The 18,755-nt window shown below is 48.2% G+C and overlaps 1 protein-coding gene and 1 long non-coding RNA gene across 11 annotated transcripts in view, besides 6 other annotated features; one reads left to right on the forward strand and one right to left on the reverse strand.

Moving 5' to 3' along the window:
• Positions 1 to 18,755, reverse strand: part of ZBTB17 (zinc finger and BTB domain containing 17) — a 34,233-nt gene that overhangs the window by 7,899 nt on the left and 7,579 nt on the right. The window lies entirely within an intron of this gene.
• Positions 129 to 916: an enhancer, noted in NCBI's record as "H3K27ac-H3K4me1 hESC enhancer chr1:16276391-16277178 (GRCh37/hg19 assembly coordinates)". NCBI's record gives its function as "activates a minimal SCP1, AML or CMV promoter by ChIP-STARR-seq in primed H9 embryonic stem cells {active_cell/tissue: H9 hESC(primed)}" and the evidence as "EXISTENCE:reporter gene assay evidence [ECO:0000049][PMID:30033119]".
• LOC124903855 (uncharacterized) lies at positions 164 to 17,876 on the forward strand. 2 transcript variants are annotated; one of them, XR_007065486.1, is made up of 3 exons: positions 164 to 595; positions 2,503 to 3,278; positions 3,794 to 17,876. It is a non-coding gene; the product is annotated as an uncharacterized LOC124903855 (long non-coding RNA). The 2 variants fall into 2 exon arrangements; XR_007065484.1 differs by having other exon boundaries at positions 2,503 to 17,876.
• Positions 1,336 to 1,385: an enhancer, noted in NCBI's record as "active region_254". NCBI's record gives its function as "activates an Ori minimal core promoter by ATAC-STARR-seq in GM12878 lymphoblastoid cells {active_cell/tissue: GM12878}" and the evidence as "EXISTENCE:reporter gene assay evidence [ECO:0000049][PMID:35858748]".
• Positions 2,629 to 3,828: an enhancer, noted in NCBI's record as "CDK7 strongly-dependent group 2 enhancer chr1:16278891-16280090 (GRCh37/hg19 assembly coordinates)". NCBI's record gives its function as "activates an origin of replication core promoter dependent on BRD2, BRD4, P300/CBP, MED14 and CDK7 cofactors, with strong dependence on CDK7, by STARR-seq in HCT116 cells {active_cell/tissue: HCT116}" and the evidence as "EXISTENCE:reporter gene assay evidence [ECO:0000049][PMID:35650434]".
• Positions 11,397 to 12,270: an enhancer, noted in NCBI's record as "OCT4-NANOG-H3K4me1 hESC enhancer chr1:16287659-16288532 (GRCh37/hg19 assembly coordinates)". NCBI's record gives its function as "activates a minimal SCP1, AML or CMV promoter by ChIP-STARR-seq in naive and primed H9 embryonic stem cells {active_cell/tissue: H9 hESC(naive and primed)}" and the evidence as "EXISTENCE:reporter gene assay evidence [ECO:0000049][PMID:30033119]".
• Positions 15,714 to 15,883: an enhancer, noted in NCBI's record as "active region_255". NCBI's record gives its function as "activates an Ori minimal core promoter by ATAC-STARR-seq in GM12878 lymphoblastoid cells {active_cell/tissue: GM12878}" and the evidence as "EXISTENCE:reporter gene assay evidence [ECO:0000049][PMID:35858748]".
• Positions 16,166 to 16,355: an enhancer, noted in NCBI's record as "active region_256". NCBI's record gives its function as "activates an Ori minimal core promoter by ATAC-STARR-seq in GM12878 lymphoblastoid cells {active_cell/tissue: GM12878}" and the evidence as "EXISTENCE:reporter gene assay evidence [ECO:0000049][PMID:35858748]".

Raw genomic sequence — 18,755 nt, forward strand, 5'->3', positions numbered from 1 at the left:
AGGAAGCCACGCCCCTCACACCAGCACAGGTCGGCCTTGAAGGGCGCCAAGGCCTCCCACCACGTGATGTCTGGAAACTTTTCACAAGTGGGGGTATCTGCTGAGCGGGGGGAAGTGACGCAACAAATAACGGGGAGCATGGCAGTGGCAACAGGCATGAGCCACAGCGCACCAGCCTCCGAGCCACAAGTTCAGCGTTGCTGCTGCTGCCAGAGGCCCAGAAACAGCTGTTCCCTCCCCCTACACATCCCCGCGCAGGCTTTGGCTCTCTCAATGACATTCCTAAATGGCTGTGGCTAGAGCCCTAAGTGTAAGCACTGGAGAGCCAGGGCCAGCCCCGAAATCAGGAGGTAAGGCCCTGGGGCAGCTGGCCCCGCACCAAGTGCACCAAGTGGCTGGCAGCAGCACACGGCCACCTGGAGCAAAGCACAGAGGCCTTTCTCTCCTGTCCTCAGTCCCTGGAAGCAGCAGGTTCCTATCTGTGACCTGAAGGAACGCAAGGGAGAATCGTGGCTGCGCTGCTCCTATGCACTGGACATGGGGAGGCACCAATGTCCAGCTTGTGGATCAAGACCTGAAGGGCACAAAGGGCAAGGTGGGTGCAGAAGGAACCAAAGGCAGGGGCGAGGTGGGCCCAGGCCACGGCAACCCTAGAGCTGTCTTCTCCTGGCTGTGGAAAAGGTCACGTGAGCACACAGGTGTGTGGGTGGCAAGCCCTGGGCCTCAATTGCTAGTCACCCCCTACATACCCAGGAGCCCCAAGTGCAGAAGAGGGGAATACCAGGGCCCACACAGGGCAAAATCCTCAACTGGCTTCAGAAGCAGCCCATCTGGAACTTGCAAGTGAGGCCCAACCCTTCTCTCCAGGCTGTGTGCCTGGCTTCCTCACCTTCCCCAGGAGCCAACCCGAAACTTGAGCCACCCAGGTGCTAAAACAACCTGGGGAGCATCAGCTGAACCCCCAGAGGTACAAAGAACCCTCTAGCAGGAAAACCATCTGACTTGCCGGGAAGAGACATGTGAGGAGACTCCTAGCCAAGGGGAGGGACAGGATCAATCCCCTTGTGTGGGCCCAAGGCTGGGATGAGCCTCCCTGTGGCCATGTGCCCTGGGGCTTCCTGGCAAGCGCAGCCCCGCCCAGCCATACAGCTGTCCTGGGACTGGATGGATGGATGGATGGGTAAGCTAGATAGATTAGATAAGACACATTCGCTAGATAATAAAATAGTAAAGGCCCCAAGGACAGGGTGGGTGGTGGCCCAGCCCCCCACATACCACCACCCGCCAAGAGAGCAGCTGTGTGCCCATGAGCAACATTTTCCACCGTGCTGACTGCACTTTTCCAATGCAAGATGCCCGCCCAGAAGTGGGCTCCTCCCACACACGGGTGTTAGGAGGAGAAACAGAGGCGTCTATAATCCTCTGAGGCTGCCCCAGCAGAGAAACGCACCAAAAGGGAAGAAAACAGGAGAAATGATAAGAAGGGGGGAGGAAGAAGTGAAGATGGGCAAAGTAAGGGAAGGAAAGGAGAGAGAAGAAGGAAGGAAGGAAGGGAGAGAGGGAGGGAGGGAGGGGCCCTGTACCCACAGAGAGATCAGCAGCAGCTGAAATGCGCTTACCAGTACAATCTGGGACTGGCCTCCCAGGGGTGCAAGAGCAGCTCGAGGGGGCCAGGAGGGGGCGGACTAAGTGCTAAATGGTGTTACCCGCAGAACTGTGTCACTGTGGACTTTACAACCGAAGCCCCACCCTCACAGGGCAAGTGGAGCTCAGGGTCCCCCAGGCTGTTCCCCAGCCGGGAAGCTTTAACAGCCCCTCTCTCAAGGCCCGTGGCGAGACGGAGGCATGGCCGGCTGGGTCCTTCCCTCTGAGGGGCTGAGCTAGAACTAGGCAGTCCCCCACCTCCAACCCACGTGAACTGCTCTGGAGGGATCACCAGCCTGTATCCTAGTTCCCCTCTTATCTATTCCTCAGCGACAGGAACCCAGCAGGACGGCCAGGCTTGGAGGGACATAGGAAAAGGGTTTGGGAGCGAAGGGGTGTGCAGGTCCTAGGAACATATCCCCTCCTAAGTACGTGCTAGGAGGTGCTGTCTGGGGAGACGTTAACCACAGTAATCAGATCAACAGCCAGCTGCTCCCCATCGCCCCCAGATGTGCGGGAACACAGGGTGAAGAAATACTGTTCCCACCAGGCAGCCTGCCCCACCCCACCCTTGGAATACGGTGCCCATCGCTCAAGCACAAGTGTCAAGGTCTGTGGTCTTGTCTTCACCTTGCGTGATGGGCGATAAATATGTGCACTAGTTAAAGCAACTTCTAAGGAAGATCCTAAAACCTTAGAACCATAGAAAATGCCAACAGAACGAGACCACAGAGCCCAGCAGCCCAGAGTCCTCATTTTAGATGCAGACTGACCTGACCCCCACTCACAAAGTCTTAGCTGCAATCGGGCACCTTTTCCCAACACCTCTAGTCACTCAGTTTTTCTCCCTCACCTCAGGTGTCAGAGCTGGGATGCTGTCCTGATGACCAAAAGCTTAGGTGGACACAGAGCCCTGGGCTCCCTCACGAGGAATTCACTGGGGAACAAAAAAGTGAGGCACTGAGGACACCTGCAGTGTGAGTCCGGACAGGCACACTGACACAGCGGAACAGACGCGGCAGAACCGACACGGCGGAACGGACGCGGATGATGCAGAGCCCCTCTCAGGATGGCCAGCCATTCCTCCCCTGCCAGGGCCCACCACGCCTCCCATGGAGAGACGGTGTCTGTTTCCCTCCTGTCGGAATCTGGATGGCCCAGAGACGACTCTGACATCAGGATGCTGGGACTGTGCCAATTCCAGACCTAAACCTAAAGAAGCCTGGAAGATTCTGCTGTGGCTCCTGGGAATCCAGTCACCGAGCTGGAGGAAAGTCCAAGCTCCCGTGTGAGTGGGAGACACATGGAGGGGCTCTGGGGAGAGGGCACATGGAGAAGAGCAGAGAGGCCACTGACAGCACCAATGCTCTGTGGCGAGGGACACACTTTCCTGGACCTCCCAGCCCAGCTGTGCGCTGCTGCACGCACGGCCTCAACCAACACCTCGGGGAGCAAGCGACTGCCTGTCCACCCATCCAACTAAGAAAGACTGACTCACCGATGACTTATGCCACTGGGTTTTGGGGTGCTGTGCTGTGCAGCAGGAGATAACTGAGACGGACGGTAAAACCAGGAAGAAAAGGAAGTGATTCAGCCAAAGGTTCAGGATGACGGTTCTCTCTGGATGGGGGAGGGTAAGCAGGGGACTTCTGAGATCCTAGAAGAGTTCTCTTTCTTTACTTGGAGTCCCCTGGATTTATTACTTAAACTAAATGTGTATATTTCATATACATTTACATGAAAACATTCCAATTATTTAAAAAAATGTATTTTTTTTTTTTTGTAGAAGCAGGATTTCACCATGTTGCCCAGGCTGGTCTCAAACTCCTGGGCTCAAGCAATCTGCCTACCTTGGCCTTCTAAAGTGCTGGGATTACAGGCGTGTGCTACTGCACCCAGCCATTTTTCAAAAATTTTAATAAGAAAAAAGTGAGGTTCAGTTGCCAGACTTGATCCAGTCATGGCACAGAGTGTGCTGGCCAAGGCTGGGTTGCTCCCAACCACACTCCCGGCCATGCTCACCAGGGCTGCCTTGAGGCCCAGCGTGGCAGCGAGGGTCAGAGGAGCTAAGAGAGCCGCCAAGGCTCCTGCGGGTGGGATTTGGAAGGGCTGGCCCCAGAAAGCACAACCCATTGCATCTGTCTTGCAGTCCCAAAGCACCACAGACTGCTGAGTAAGCCAGGTTTCTGTTTGGGCCGTGAAATCCACTCTGGTGCCAAGTTCCATACTGCTGCCTCCACGACGCAGGGATTCCAGTGGCGGCTGAGCCCCATGGAAGCAGCAGAGCCTCCCGGGACAGGCCAAGCAGGACCTGGATCTGGGTTCCACCAGCCACCCGCAGGTGATCTCCAGCAAAGCTTCTCCAATGGCCAACAGGGCTAATGGTATGACTTCCTTTGTGACAGGATTAAATTAAGTAACATAGGTCAAGACCCTGTACAGAGCCTGGCATATCGTGAGCATGCAACAAACTACTGTTGCCAGGAAGCAGAGATGCAGATGATAGTTTCATTTTTTTAGGCCAAAGTCTTTATCAGATGGTTTCTATATACCCCTTTGCACTGGGCACATGGGGTACTTGACCTTGTTAAGAGGTGTAATCATAACCCATCACTCCTAAATGCAATCTGGAAGAATTCCAGAGCACAATTAGCATGAAGACAGGGAGGAAGTGATGGGAGGGGCACTGAGTGGAGAGACATCTAGAGCTATTGTCTCTGCCAGGAGGCACTTTATATTGAACAACTGTTCTGTTAAACCCCAAGAGTGCTCCCAGACAAAGGCTGGAGTGCATGCCCAGAGTGCTAAGTGGCCCCAGAGAGCACAGCTCCATGTCAGAGTCAAATGGGCACCTGTCAAACATGAAATGTTACCCAGGTTATTAGTATGCACTAAACTACCTGCAGGGTTTCCAAACTGCCACAAAGGGAAGCCATTAAGCCAGGAAGCAACTGGCCTACCATAGGGAGACACTGATCTTTACAAACAACAGTCCCCGGCTCCCAGAACAAGCTGCTCCCAGCTCTGAGCCTTGACATGAGCCATCTTGTGTCCAGGTGCTTGAGGAACCTAAGGGCAGGTGAGAAGGATCACCATTTGGCTTCCAGTTGCTCAGCATTCTTGATTTTCTAGAAATACAGGTGGATCAACATAAACTTCCAAAGGAGCCAGGCACGGTGGCTCACACCTGTAATCCCAGCACTTTAGGAGGCCGAGGCAGGACTGTGGGAGGTCTGAGACAAGCCTAGGCAACATGGTGAAACCCTGTCTCTACAAAAGAAATTTTAAAATTACCTGAGTGTGGTGGCACACACCTGTGGTTCCAGCCACTCGGGAGGCTGAGACAGGAGGACAGATTAAGCCAGGAGGTCGAGGCTGCAGTTAGCTGTGATTGTGCCACTGCACTCCAGCCTGGGCAATGGAGCAAGACCCTATCTCAAAAAAACAAATAAAAAACTTCTGGCCAGGTGCGGTGGCTCACGCCTATAATCCCAGCACTTTGGGAGGCCGAGGCTGGCGGATCACTTGAGGTCAGGAGTTTGAGGCCAGCCTGGCCAACATGGCAAAGCCCATTTCTACTAAAAATACAAAAATTAGCTGGGTGTGGTGGTGCGCACCTGTAGTCCCGGCTACTCGGGAGGCTGAGGCAGGAGAATCACTTGAACCCGGGAGGCGGAGGTAACAGTGAGCCAAGATCACACCACTGCACTCCAGCCTGGGCCACAGAGTGAGACTCTGTCTCCAAAAACAAACAAACAAACAAACAAATGAAAACTTCCAAGGAAATGGAAGTTCACACCAGGCCAGGCTTGTGAGCATGAAACCTACCTGCCCAACCCCACCAACCACCCCAGTTTGACAACATATCCCTTTGAGTGCAAGACATGGCAGAGAAGCAAAAATGAACAAAACCAACCCTGCTGGCACTTTCCTCCTCACCCAGCAAACACTCTTCTTGTATTAAGATTGGATTTCTCAAACTTTTAAAATCACTTTCTCCTTTAGATAAACATATAAATCTTGGCTCCTCCCGACAACCTGATTCTGATATTTCCACTGGAGAGTACCCATTCCCAGCATAAGAATCACTGCTATCTCTACACAGTCCCACCAGCCAAGGTTCAGCAGTATTTTCGGAAGTTTGTATTATAAAAAAACAGATTTTTTTAAATCTTAAAAATGTCTAAATATAAAATGCAGTTATGATGCTGACTTTGCTTTTCAAACTATACAACTACCGCTATCTTTCAGATTTAGGCCAAGTGCAATGGCTCACACCTGTAATCCTAGTACTTTGGGAGGCCAAGGCTGGAGGATCACTTTAAAGAGGCCAGAAACTTGAGACCAGCCTGGGCAACATAGTGAGACCCCATGTCTACAAAATAAAAATTAGAATATTAGCTGGGCGTGAGCTATGACTGCACCACTGCACTCCAGCCTAGGTGACAGAGGGAGACCCTATCAACATCCACAACTAAAGTTTAGCCACACTTTTGAGGGGGCAGACACCCCTCTGCCTGATCCCTGATGGACCCCACTGCTCTAGGACTATGCACAAAAGGGAAGGCTGGCAGGCCCTGAAAAAGAGCTGTCCAGGATTCCAGCAGCCCAGGCCAGCTTAGAATCCACTGTGCTAGTACGCATACCAGGGACTTGTAAAGCTCAACACAGGGTAAATTAAGGGGCCTTCCTGCCAAAAAGACAAAATCACGACATCTGGGACTTGGGCAGTACCTGATCATTCCCCAAGGCACACACACCCATCAGCCACAAATACTTCCCAAGTGTCAAGCAATGGCACTGACACCACCTTAAATGACACAGTGTGTCACCTCCTCTCTCCTACCAGTTTAATAAACTCACTGCAAGGTGGGGCTACTTCTTATTTCTTCCTTACAGCTGTTTATAGCACATTACCCAGAACCCTGCTTTCAAGTGGTTACAGATCAAGTAGGGAACAGGCCTGTTGAGAGCAGAGATCCCTGGCTTTTTTGAGAATGACTAACACAATGTCAAAGTATTTCCTAGACCCTTATGAAATGACAGTTGTACTTCTGGTGCTTGTTAACTGATAAAATAATAGAAAAAAGCCACTATGAAAAAGTGAATGTCCATTCCATTAATCACAAAGGCATTTAAGCAACAATTCTATGTACATGGATGAGAAATTTCCCCAATATAGAGAAAATCAGTGGGGTGATACAGCTGCTCATCTACTCATAATTATTGCATTGCCCTTTAGGGGTGCTCAGCCTATAAATTAGGAAACAGATACATAGAGAGAGAGGACTAATGAATTTCACAAATGTCTAATGAGAGTCTACCTTGTGTTTGTCCTAGGTACTATGTTAGAACTTCAAACTGAGTGGGGAAGACAGGTAATAAATGGGTATAATAAACAATGGCAGCTACCAAGTGCTGTGGAGAAACTAAAGCAAGCTGAGCAGATCGAGAGGCAGGGGCTATTTACTATTTAAGAAAGGAGGCGGCCGGGCACAGTGGCTCACGCCTGTAATCCCAGCACTTTGGGACGCTGAGGCGGGTGGATCACGAGGTCAGGAGTTCAAGACCAGCCTGGCCGACATAGTGAAACCCCATCTCTACTAAAAATATAAAAAATTAGCCGGGCATGGTGGTGGGTGCCTGTAATCCCAGCTACTCAAGAGGCTGAGGCAGGAGAATGCTTGAACCTGGGAGGCAGAGGTTGCAGTGAGCCAAGATCGTGCCACTGCACTCCAGCCTGGGTGACAGTGAGAGACTCCATCTCAAAAAAAAAAAAAAAAAGTAAAAATAAAGGAGGCAAGGGGGACCTCAGAGGAGGTGGCATTTAAGCAAAGACCTGAATGAGGTTTAAGAGGGAGCTAGGCCACTGTATGCCCAGGGACCATCACAGACATGAGAAGAGCAGATGCAAAAACCCTGAGGCGGGCATGACTTTGGCACAGGGGCCGGTGTGTGTGGAGAGGAGGAGGTGTGTGGCACAGGGGCCGGTGTGTGTGGAGAGGAGGAGGTGTGTGGCACAGGGGCCGGTGTATCTGGAGAGGAGCAGGTGTGCATGAGAATGACAGCAGCAGGGGCTGAGCTCGCCCAGGGTCTCAGGGACACAGCGGACTTTGGATTTCTTCTAAGTGCACTGGGATGCCTTGGGAGTGACGAAGAGTGACAGAAAAGAGCAGAAGAGTGAGGTTCCTAAAAGGCCCCTCTGACTGCAGTGCAAAGACAGACCGCAAGGAGGCTTAGTAGGGGCCCCAGTTAGGCTACTACAGTAGAGAAGAGACAGCAGTGGCCTCACCAAGGAGGTAGAAAACAGGCGAGAAGAGGTTATATTAGGAATATGTTTTGGCAGAGCCAACACCATTAGCTGATCAAGCAGATGTGCGTTGTGACAGAAGGAAAGGAGTCAAGGATGACACTAAGATCTGTGCCCGGAGACACTGGCCCAGTGGCGGTGCCGCTTCCTGAGAGGAGGAGGAGTGGCAGGAGGAGACTCCGTGGGGGGAATCAGAGTTCTGTTCTGGCCAATTACAGCTGAGATGTCTGCTTGTAGAGACGGTAATTAAAGCCACAAGGTGGAACAAGATATCCATGGAAGCAGGTATTGGATAAACAAGAGAAGAAACCAATGGACTCAGAATCCCAGCTCCAAACTTAACACAGTGACCTCAGGCAAGCATCTCTGAGTTTTAGATTGCTCACCTGTAAAATAGGAAAACCACCATAAATACGAGTGTGCAATGAGACAACTAGCAGATAGGAAGTGTTGCCCAAATATTGGCAAAAGTAGAACTAGATATTACTTCTCTAACACAGCTCTGTGACTGAAACACAGTTAAAACAAAAGGGAAATGATGAACTAATAAAACAAAAACAAACCAGATGATCCCAAGTGACCTCCCTGCACCAGGGGAGCACAGGGCCCCTGTCAAACAGGACAGCAGCTGGCCAAAGCCTTGGGAAGGCGGCTGACGGAAGCTAACAGAGCCACAGCCTGGTCCAATACGACCAAAAAAAAAAAAAAAAAAACACACAGGTGTTGCTTCTCTCTGGCTGCAGCCTTCCACCGTCAGGCCTTTGTTATGGAGCAACTCAGGGCAGAAGGCCTGGGAACTCAATTTCAATATAGAGGGATTCGGGGGTCCAATCTCCATAACTGGTGGGCTGAGGGGATGGTGGAGTGGAGGTTTACTTCAAAGTCCACTGCAAAGTGCCAGGGGCCCTGGGATAAGGCTGGGTCTGAGCCCCAGCCCCTTGACCTTCACTGGGGCAGAAGGACAGTGTGATGAGTGCTGAATGGGGGCTGCCGAAGCGCCAGCCTGGGACGACGTGACCACACCTAAAGACAGACGAAGGCAAGAAAGACCTTTGGGCAGGGGACAGCATAAGCAATGATGGCTGAGGGGCCAGGTGGAGAAGGGGGATCATGCCCCAGCACACAGGAGGGAGGGGACAAAGTGATGGGAAACACAGCTGGAGGGCCAGGCTGGGGCTAGGCACTTGGGCTGGGACCACCACACCAGGCCTCAGTGACAACCTTGGCAGTCAGGAGTCACACTGGGACTTGAAAGGGGGAGATGAAGTCCCACTGGGCTGGACCCTTGGGATAGGAAAAATGGGATGATGTCACCCCCAGGTGGCCCTAGAAGGGTTTAGCTGGTGCCAAGAATCCAACACACACTTACATGATTCTTTCTGGCAGCCTGAACCAGTGGCCTTCCCACTAAATACTATTAAATCCTCTAAAAGTTTTAAGCACCTCTTCTTGGAGTAGCTCAAAGTCTCTTAAAATTTAGTACCTGACCCTTCCCAGTGGAAGGTGGGCCATGCCATTTGTCCAAAACTATGAGCCCAGGCTAAGAATGTACACATTTTACTTATTTTTAAAAGACAACGTCCACATTTCTGTAGGGTATACACAAAACTGGTAAAGAGAAGCCCCTCAGGGGAGCAGGGGAAGTGGGGAAGGAGCTCAACTTTTCACTATATATCCTTTCTGTGCTGTTTCACCACTTGTAAACACTATCTATTAAAAAATTAAAACTGAGAAAGCTAAAGAACAATGGAGAGAAAAAGAGGAGGGAAGGGAAGGAAGAGGGAGGAGAGGGAGGGAGGGAGGGAGGGAGGAAGGGAGGGAGGAGAGGGAGGGAGGAAAGGAGGAAGCAACAGGGAAGAGAAGGAGGAGAGGGAGAGAGTAGACAGAGGGAAGGAGGGAGGAGAGGGAGGAGAGGAAGGGAGGGAGGGAGGTCCCAGCTATCTGGGAGGCTGAGGTGGGAGGATCACTTAAGCCCAGGAGTTTTGAGGCTGCAGCAAGCTATGATCACACCACTGCACTCCAGCATAGGCAACAGAGCAAAACTCTGTCAAAAAATAAAAATAAAAAAGACAGAAAAGAAAGAAAGAAAATAAATGCCTGCAAAGTCAGAGACCTAAGTCCTTTATTTCTATCTATCATAAAATCTTTAAGACATTTTCTACAAGACCTAGTGACTGAAAACTTCTCAAAGGAAAAAATTTCTCATGAGGGAAATGGAAAATTGTGGTAATGTGCACAGAGAATCAATGTATCACTCAGGAAAACAATATGAGCAGAAATTCCTTGAGGGGACGCCCCGAGCACCACAGCTGGTGTCCTCGTGCTCAAACAGAGGAAGCCCCCTGACACTGCGACGACACTGAAGTCCTTCTCCCAGGGACACATGCACACGCAATTCAACACGCAACTGTGGGGGGCTTGCTGCTCCCAGGACCCAGTTAAAACACTCCTACCTCCAAATCCAGCCGAAGCTAGTTAAGTGCCTCAGGCAGGCACTTAACTCTGCACAATCTCTGCAGGCACAATCTCTGCACCTCAATTCCTCTTCTGTAAAATGGAGATGATGACAAAAGTTTCTTCTTCATAAAGCTACTGCTGGCCATCATCATTCTATCATTACATATAAACCCAAGCCAGCAAGGCTGATAAATTATAGAAAACATTTGGCTTGAACTTGTTCTTAATTTTTTAAAAAAGAAAAAAACTATATAGAAAGAAGAGAGCCCAATGCTGTCATCCTTATCCTATCTTCTGAAAACGGATGTAAAAATCTCATCAGTAATCAGGGCACCCATCAAGTTTCAACCTGAAAAAAGACCAGGAAAAGGCCCCCCACACTGCAGTGCTTACTCCACTCGACAGGAATCAGAATCAAAGGCATAAATGCTTAATACTTGATGGTAACCGCCACCTTCTTTCTACAAAGGACACAAGGACTGCAGGAGCAAAGAGGCTCTCACTGAGGAAGAAGAACAATCACAAAGGAAGGGCCGGATGGCCCATGATGCTCTTGAAGATCAAGAATTCAAGCCAAAAGAAAAAAGCAGGTTAAGTAAGAACTGGAAATGGATGTAGCTGGACTTCCATGTGTGCACAGGCTCTTCAAGTGTGACTGACTTTTTCTGGGTTTGTATCCTCATTAGGATTAGGTAACTGCCAAGGTCCCTTGTAGTGTTAAGATGTAATACATGCTCCAGCCTGGGCAACATGGTGAGACCCCATCTCCAGAAAAAAATACAAAAATTAGCCAGGCGTGCTGGTGCATGCCTGTGGTCCCAGCTACTTGGGAGGCAGAGGCGGGAGGATCACTTAAGCCCACAAGGTCAACGCTGCAGTGAGCAGTGATTGCACCACTGCACTCCAGCCTGGGCAACAGAGTGAGACCCCGTCTCAAAAAAAGAAAAAAGATTTAAGAAATGTTGAATAAATGAATGAATGATTTCATTAATGAGGCTGCCATGCATTCGAAGTATAACAGATACAGTGTGACAATTAAAATGAGGCATTTACCTAGCAGTTAGCAGACTTTTTTCCATTTAAAACTTTCCCTACAGTATTATCTTTAAGATTTCCAACTATGAACATTAACTGTATAGGATATAAACACCAACTATGAAATACATATGGCAGAAGCCAACATCAGATTTTATATTTCCTATTCCAAATAGGATTAAGCTAAGATTCTGTAAAACTTCACTGGGAAAAAACTAAACGAGTAAGAATATTTTAGAGTAATATTTTGGGGATCCTGAAGCTGTAAGTTGGGCCTGGATAATCAGTGGTCAAGACTCAATGTCTCAGTTTCCAGTGAGTTTTAAAAACGGATGCGGAAGTGCTGTCCTACAGCAGAGTTTTTAGAAGCAGCCCAGTGAGGATTAGGAGAGGCTCAGGGGCCCAGGGCTCGCCCTTCAACAAACAGCGCTGCTGACCTCCAGCCCCTCAAATCCCTACCACCTGCGGCAGCGATCAATCAGCAAAGCTGCTCCCACCCGCCAGCCGCTTTGAAGTGCAAACTTCTGAGAGAAACCTGGAGACCACCCCCAAGTGTGACCTGGCTCCTGGTCCTAGTAAGACCAGGGAGGTGGGGGGAATGGGATGGAGACGGAGGCACAGCTAGTGACGACATGGGGTGACGACATGGGGTGGGGGTCCCAGTGGAGAAGTATATTTTACGATGTTAATATATATGCTTTATCAGTAAACCGGGAGAGGTGGCGCGTGCCTGTAATCTCAGCACTTTGGGAGACTGAGGCAGGAGGATTGCCTAAGTTCAGGAGTTGGAGACCAGCCTGGGCAACATGGTGAGATCCCGTCTCTACAAAAAATCCAAAATAATTTAGCCGGGTGTGGTGGCAGGTGTCTATGGTCCCAGCCACTCGGGAGGCTGAGGTGGAAGGATCACTTGAGCCTGGGAGGTTGAGGCTGCAGTGAGCTGAGATTGTGGCACTGCTGCTCCAGCTCGGGTGACAGTGCGAGACCTTATCTTGAATAAAATAAAAAATAAAATAAAATGAAATAAAAATTGTGATTCCTGATAAGGGACTGTGGGTGGAACTGTGCCCTGTGCAGAGAGGAAACTCAGCCTTGCTACTAACAGCTCCATCTGCTGAGACTCCAGAGGAGGTTACTGGCAAGAGAAACTCACGGGCTGGTTGCTTCCCTTGCAAATAGACCATAACCCACAGCAGCCATGAAGGGAGTCAGGGCCAGAGCTGCTGTGGTGCCGCACGCACAGTGTTTCATGCCGCCTCACCAGTGCTCACAATGATCCTGGGAGGGGGGACTAATACAGTCACCCCCATTGAGCAGATGAGCAAATCACAGTTTAAGAAGTTGTTGCTGACCTAGGTTGCACAGCCCTGCCCACATTCAAGGCCAAATCCATCACACTCTAAAAACTGTGCCCTTTCCGCTATAGAAAAGGACAAAACTTCTGTGGACAAACAGAATACCGGGTTCAACAGATCCTGAGCCTGTACCAAATGGACAAATTCTCTGTCATCACAGGCACATAACAATCTCTCTTCCTTATACTAATGAGTGCGATAAAACATCGTATAAAACCCAGCAGTGGTTGGCTACGGTGGCACATGACTGTAGTCCCAGCTACTCGAAAGGCTGAAGCAGGAGGATCACTTGAGGCCGGGAGTTCAAGGCTGTAGTGAGCTTTGATTGCACCTATGAGTAACCACTGCACTCCAGCCTGAGCAACAGCGAGACCCTGTTTCTAAAAAAAATAAAAAAATAAAGCAAATCCAAGGCTGGGCACAGTGGCTCACACTTGTAATCCCAACACTGTGGGAGGCCAAGGCAGGCAGATTGCTTGAGCCCCAGAGTTTGAGACTACCCTGGGCAAGATAGTGAGAACCCATCTCTAAAGAATATATAAATTAATTAATTTTAAAAGACTCACACAATCCAGAAGTGAACATTACTAAGCATTAATATATTCACAGTTTGCTGCTGCCAGATGAACTGCAAAATGAAAACTATGAAACAACTCCATTTCTGGCAAAGGTGCCCTGGCCAATTCTCCCACCGCAAACAGCCACAAATGCTGACTAAAAATGATAAGACATCTTTTAAAATGCATTAAAGATTGGGAATGATAGTAAGAGGAGTTAAAAATAAAATAAAATGTATCAAAGAACTGATAGGTCAGTAAGTAATACTGAGAGGTCAAAACACATCTAAACAAGGGTTGAAATCCAGAGAGCAAGTGGAGCTTTGAAACCAGGTTTCAAGAAAAGACATTTGCAGAACTGGGCAAGCTTGAGCCCCACCCTCCACCCCATCCCCAGAGGGAGGTCTCACTGAACCTTGGTGGAAAGAAGACAATACAGAAACTGCCTATATCAAATCTTGGTGCTGAACAGAGGAGGGAAAAATCTTCCCTGAGAATGTATAATGATTAGCAGTCCCCCAAAAGGACTACAGCCCAAATTTACACCTTATGAAACACATATTTCAGGCAGATGAAAGTGATCCCAGAAAGAAAAGTATTAAATGCAAGAAGGAAGGAAGAACAATGAAAGTAGTATATATATAAGTGAGCAAACCTAAACAAATGCTGAACTAATGATGCTCATAAAAGTTGTAAAAGGACTGGCACAGTGGCTCACACCTCTAATCCTAGCACTTTGGGAGGCCAAAGCAGGAGGAGTGCTTGAGCCCAGGAGTTCAAGACCAGCCTGTCTTTACCAAAAGAGACCCTGTCTTTACCAAAAAAAAAAAAGTAAAAAGTAAAAATTAGCAGGGTGTGGTGGCGAGTGCCTGTGATCCCAGCTACTCGAGAAGCTGAGGCAGGAGGATTGCATAATCCTAGAAGGTCCAGGCTGCAGTAAGCTGCGATTGTGCCACGGCACTCCAGCCTGGACAACAGCGAGACCCTGTCTCTAGAGAGAAAAAAAAAAAAAGGTTTAAAAAGAACTAAAATGCACACCCACAGAATAAAAGTGGAAGAGAAAGTGATAGCAATTAAAGTGTTCTCAGGTCCTCACTGTTTGAGAGTAAGGTATAAAGACACTGACTAAATTTAGACTTTGATAAGTTATGTAAATTGAAAGCTATACCACATTTATGGATCAGATGACTCAACATCATAAAAATGTCAGCTCTACCCAAATTTATATATTATAAACTCAATGCAAATTCTAATAAAACATACCAACAATTTTTATGGCATTTGACAAATGTAATCTAACATGACAATGGGGCCAGGCAAGATGGCTCACGCCTGTAATCCCAACACGTTGGGAGGCTGAGGTGGGAGGATTGCTTGAGCCCAGGAATTCAAGACTAGCTTGGGCTACATGGTGAAACCCTGTCTCTACAAAAAAGACAAAAATAGCTGAGCGTGGTGGCGTGTGCCTCTAGTCTCAGCTACTTGGGAGGCTGAGGCGGAAGGATAGCTTAAGCCTGGGAGGTCAAGGCTGTAGTGAGCCAAGATCACACCACTGCACTACAGCCTGGGTGACAGAGCGAGACCCTGTCTCAGAAAAAAATAAAATGAAAATGGAAGAGCAATGGGCCAAGGATTTACTAGACACCAGTTCACCAGTTTTCTAAAATGATGTATTTTACAAGTCAGTGTGGTATTTAAACAGAGAACAGGCCGGGCACGGTGGCTCACGCCTATAATCCCAGCACTTTGGGAGGCCGAGATGGGTGGATCATGAGGTCAGGAGTTCAAGACCAGCCTGGCCAAGATGCTGAAACCCCGTCTACTAAAAATAAAAAAAAATTAGCCAGGCGTGGTGGCACGCATCTGTAATCCCAGCTACTCAGGAGGCTGAGGCAGGAGAATCGCTTGAACCTGGGAGGCGGAGTTTGCAGTGAGCTGAGATCGCGCCACTGCACTCCAGCCGGGGCAACAGAGTGAGACTCCGTATCAAAAAAAAAAAAAAAAGAATTTCTGCTCATCAAAAACAAAAAACAATATCCTACAGTGAAAAGACAAGCCACAAACTGGAAGTAGGTAGTTATAACACATATAACTGACAAAGAATTAGTATCCAAAATAAGAAATAAAAAACAAAAAACTAACAAAATGTCTACAAACCACCCAATAGAAAAATGAGCAAGACAATCTGTTGTTTCCGAGAAGATGAAATCTGAATGATCAGTAAGCAACGAAAAGATGCCCAACTCAGAACCAGGAAAATGCAAATCAAAACCACATGAGATGTCATTGTACGCCCACCAGATTAGTAAAAATGTTGAAGTCTGAAAATACCATTGTTGAGAGGATATGAGGCAAACGGAATTGTTGAAGGGTAAACTGGGGAAACAGTTTTGGCAACAACTTGGCATTATTTGTTAAGTTGAAGACGCACATACCCTGTGACTCCACTCCCAGCTGCAGTCCCTGGAGAGGCTGTGCATACATGTCCCGGGAATGTGAACAGTGGCACTGTTTGTCTCAGCAAAATACTGGAAACAACCCAAATGTCCACCAGTAATAGAAAGGATAAATAAATTCTCATACAATGGAACATTATTCATCTGTGAAAATGAAATACCACTCTATGCAACGTGGATTAATGTCAAGGCACTGAAGAAAACAATATGATTATATTAAGTTCAAAAACCTGCAGAATTAAACGGTACATTGTTTAGCAATACAAACACATGGTAAAACTATAAAGAAAAGCAAGAGTGATAAAAGCAAAACTCAGGGATGACTTGGGCCGGGTGAGATCAGGGAGGGGACACAGGGGACTCCAAAGGTAACAGTAAGTTCTTTTTGGAAACTGGGTAATGGGTACATGGAAGATGTTTCTTGTATCCTTATTCTTTACACTGAACACATTCTTTTGTATGGAGTCAACATTTAACAAAAACGATTTACAAAATTAAACAAGTTCTTTCTTACTTTAAATCATTTGCCAAGCATTAATTTGGGCTGCTGACTGAGTCACAGTAACGGGGGAAAATCCCTGAGGGGCCCACATGGCCCCGAGACTACAGAAATGAGAAGTGCTTTGCTCTCTGAGCTCTGGTGATACAGCTTCCCATGGGGCAGGCTGGCGAAATTCGAGTGGAGCCTGCCACTCGGGACAGGAAAGTGACTGCTTAGGTTAATAAGTTCCAGTATAGGAAGTGGTGCGGCTGGGGTGGGGAGAACAGATTCTACTGCCAGACCTTTCAAGACCAGAAGCTGAGTAGATTTTTGATGTTACAATGAACCCACTAAGCCTGCTTTCTGGCCCGCTCTCCACTCGCAGCGGGAATTCCCACCTCTGAGCCTCTGTCCACACTGCTGTTTAGATATGAGTGAACAACTCTCAGTTCTAACCATGCCCTTTGCTTCCTTCCTTTGAAGCCCAGCCCTACGAACCATCTCTCTTCAATTCATAACAAGCACGTTTGAATCCAAGAGCCTAAGCCCCAGTTTTCTACACGTATCTGTGCTGACTGCATTACTGAGGTCAACCTTAATCACCCTGGGACTGTCAAACTATTGATGTCCATAAGGATTCTCTGTGCTGGCATTCCACACACACGCAGCAAGGTTCAATGAGCCACAGTACTTACTCTCTGACCTCTATTATTTCAACCATTTAAAAATTGTGGCCACGGGAGGCTGAGGTGGGAGGATCGCTTGAGCCCTGGAGGTCGAGGCTGCAGTGAGCTATAATCCCAGCACTGCACTCCAACCTGGGCGAAAGAGCGAGACCCTGTCTCAAAAATTAAATTAATTAATTAATTAATTAAAAAACAAAAAAAAAAGCCGTGGCCAGCAAAAGAAGTAGATTATGATCTCCAGGACAATATGTTTTGTACATAAAATGTATTTGGAGTTTTTTGTTTTCATTAAAGTTGAGGTCCCTCCCTACTGTGATGTCAAACCCAACAATGGGTCACCCCACAGGACACCACCCCTGCTCGCACCTGTAATCCCAGTCCTTTGGGATGGCGCAGGTAGGTGGATCACTTGAGCCCAGGAGTTCAAGACCAGCCTGGGCAACGTGGCGAAACCCTATCTCCACAAAAAACAGAAAAATTAGCTAGGTGTGGTGGTGTGTGCTAGTAGTCCCAGCTACTTGGGGGGCTGAGTCAGGAAGATCGCTTGAGCCAGGGAGGTCGAGGCTGCAGTGAGCTATGACAGCTCCACTGCTCTCTAGCCTTGGCCACAGAGCAAGGCCCTAATTAAAAAAAAAAAGTGTTATATGAGGCTGGGTTTGGTGGTTCAAGCCTATAATACCAGCACTTTGGAAGGCTGAGATAGATGGATTGCTTGCGCCCAGGAGTTTGGGACCAGCCTGGGCAACACGGCGAGATTCTGTCTCTACCAAAAAAAAAAAAAGTTTCCTGGGAGGAGAGGGGGGTAACTTACTTTCCACAGGTACACGCTTGAGAACCTTCTGATTTTTCTACCTTGTGCATGCATTCCCATAGTAAATGTTGTTTTCTTCCTAAACTCTGCATATTTTCTTTTTTGACCCTCAAGAGTCTTCTATCAAATAACAGTAATTATGGAGCCAGGGACTCGACTAAGCACTTTACATGCATGACCTTATTAATAATTCCACCCAATAAAGTTATATTCAAGGTAACTATTATCCACATTTTACAACTGAGGAAACTGAGGGTTAGAAAGGTCAAGTACTTTGCCCAAGGGCATACAGCTAGTAATTATAAGAAGCAAACATAAGCCCACATACGCCTGGCTTAGGAGTTTGTGTTCCTAACTGCTACCCTATACTGCAGGGGTTTCTTAACTGGGGGTGATTTTGTGCCAGGAGATATTTGGCAATATCTGGAGACATTCTGGGGTGTCACCACTGGAGAAGAGTTACCACTGGCATCTATGGGGAGAGGCCAGAGACGCTACAGAAACCCACCCCCCACAACAAAGACTTATCTGGCCCCAAATGTCAGAAGTGTCAAGGTTGAGAAACCCTGCTATACTGGAACAAGACAAAAAGACAGAGAAACCATCTTCTGACCAAAACTCTCACAGTTAAGGTCAGAGTTCACCATGTCTATTTCCCATATGACAGCCAAATGCCCAATAAACAAGAAGCATGCTCAGCCCTCAATTACATGGAGTTTTCTCCAGCCCCAAATGCCAGTTCCTCCTCAGCCAATCAAGGCTGATCATCCACTCATCCGACACTTGCTGAGCGCCAGCTGTGTGCCAGGAAACAAGCTACACAGTGGCAGTACCAGGATAAATAAGACCCTGTCCTGCATCCAAGATGCTGGCGGTCTCATGGGAAGGCAGGCAAGGAAGCCTCGGATCATAATTGAGGTGAAAATGTGTTAATAGAGATCAAAAACAGGATGCTAAGAAGTC

This window comes from Homo sapiens, chromosome 1 (assembly GCF_000001405.40).
Source record: "Homo sapiens chromosome 1, GRCh38.p14 Primary Assembly".
In the NCBI taxonomy this organism is placed as follows: domain Eukaryota; kingdom Metazoa; phylum Chordata; class Mammalia; order Primates; family Hominidae; genus Homo; species Homo sapiens.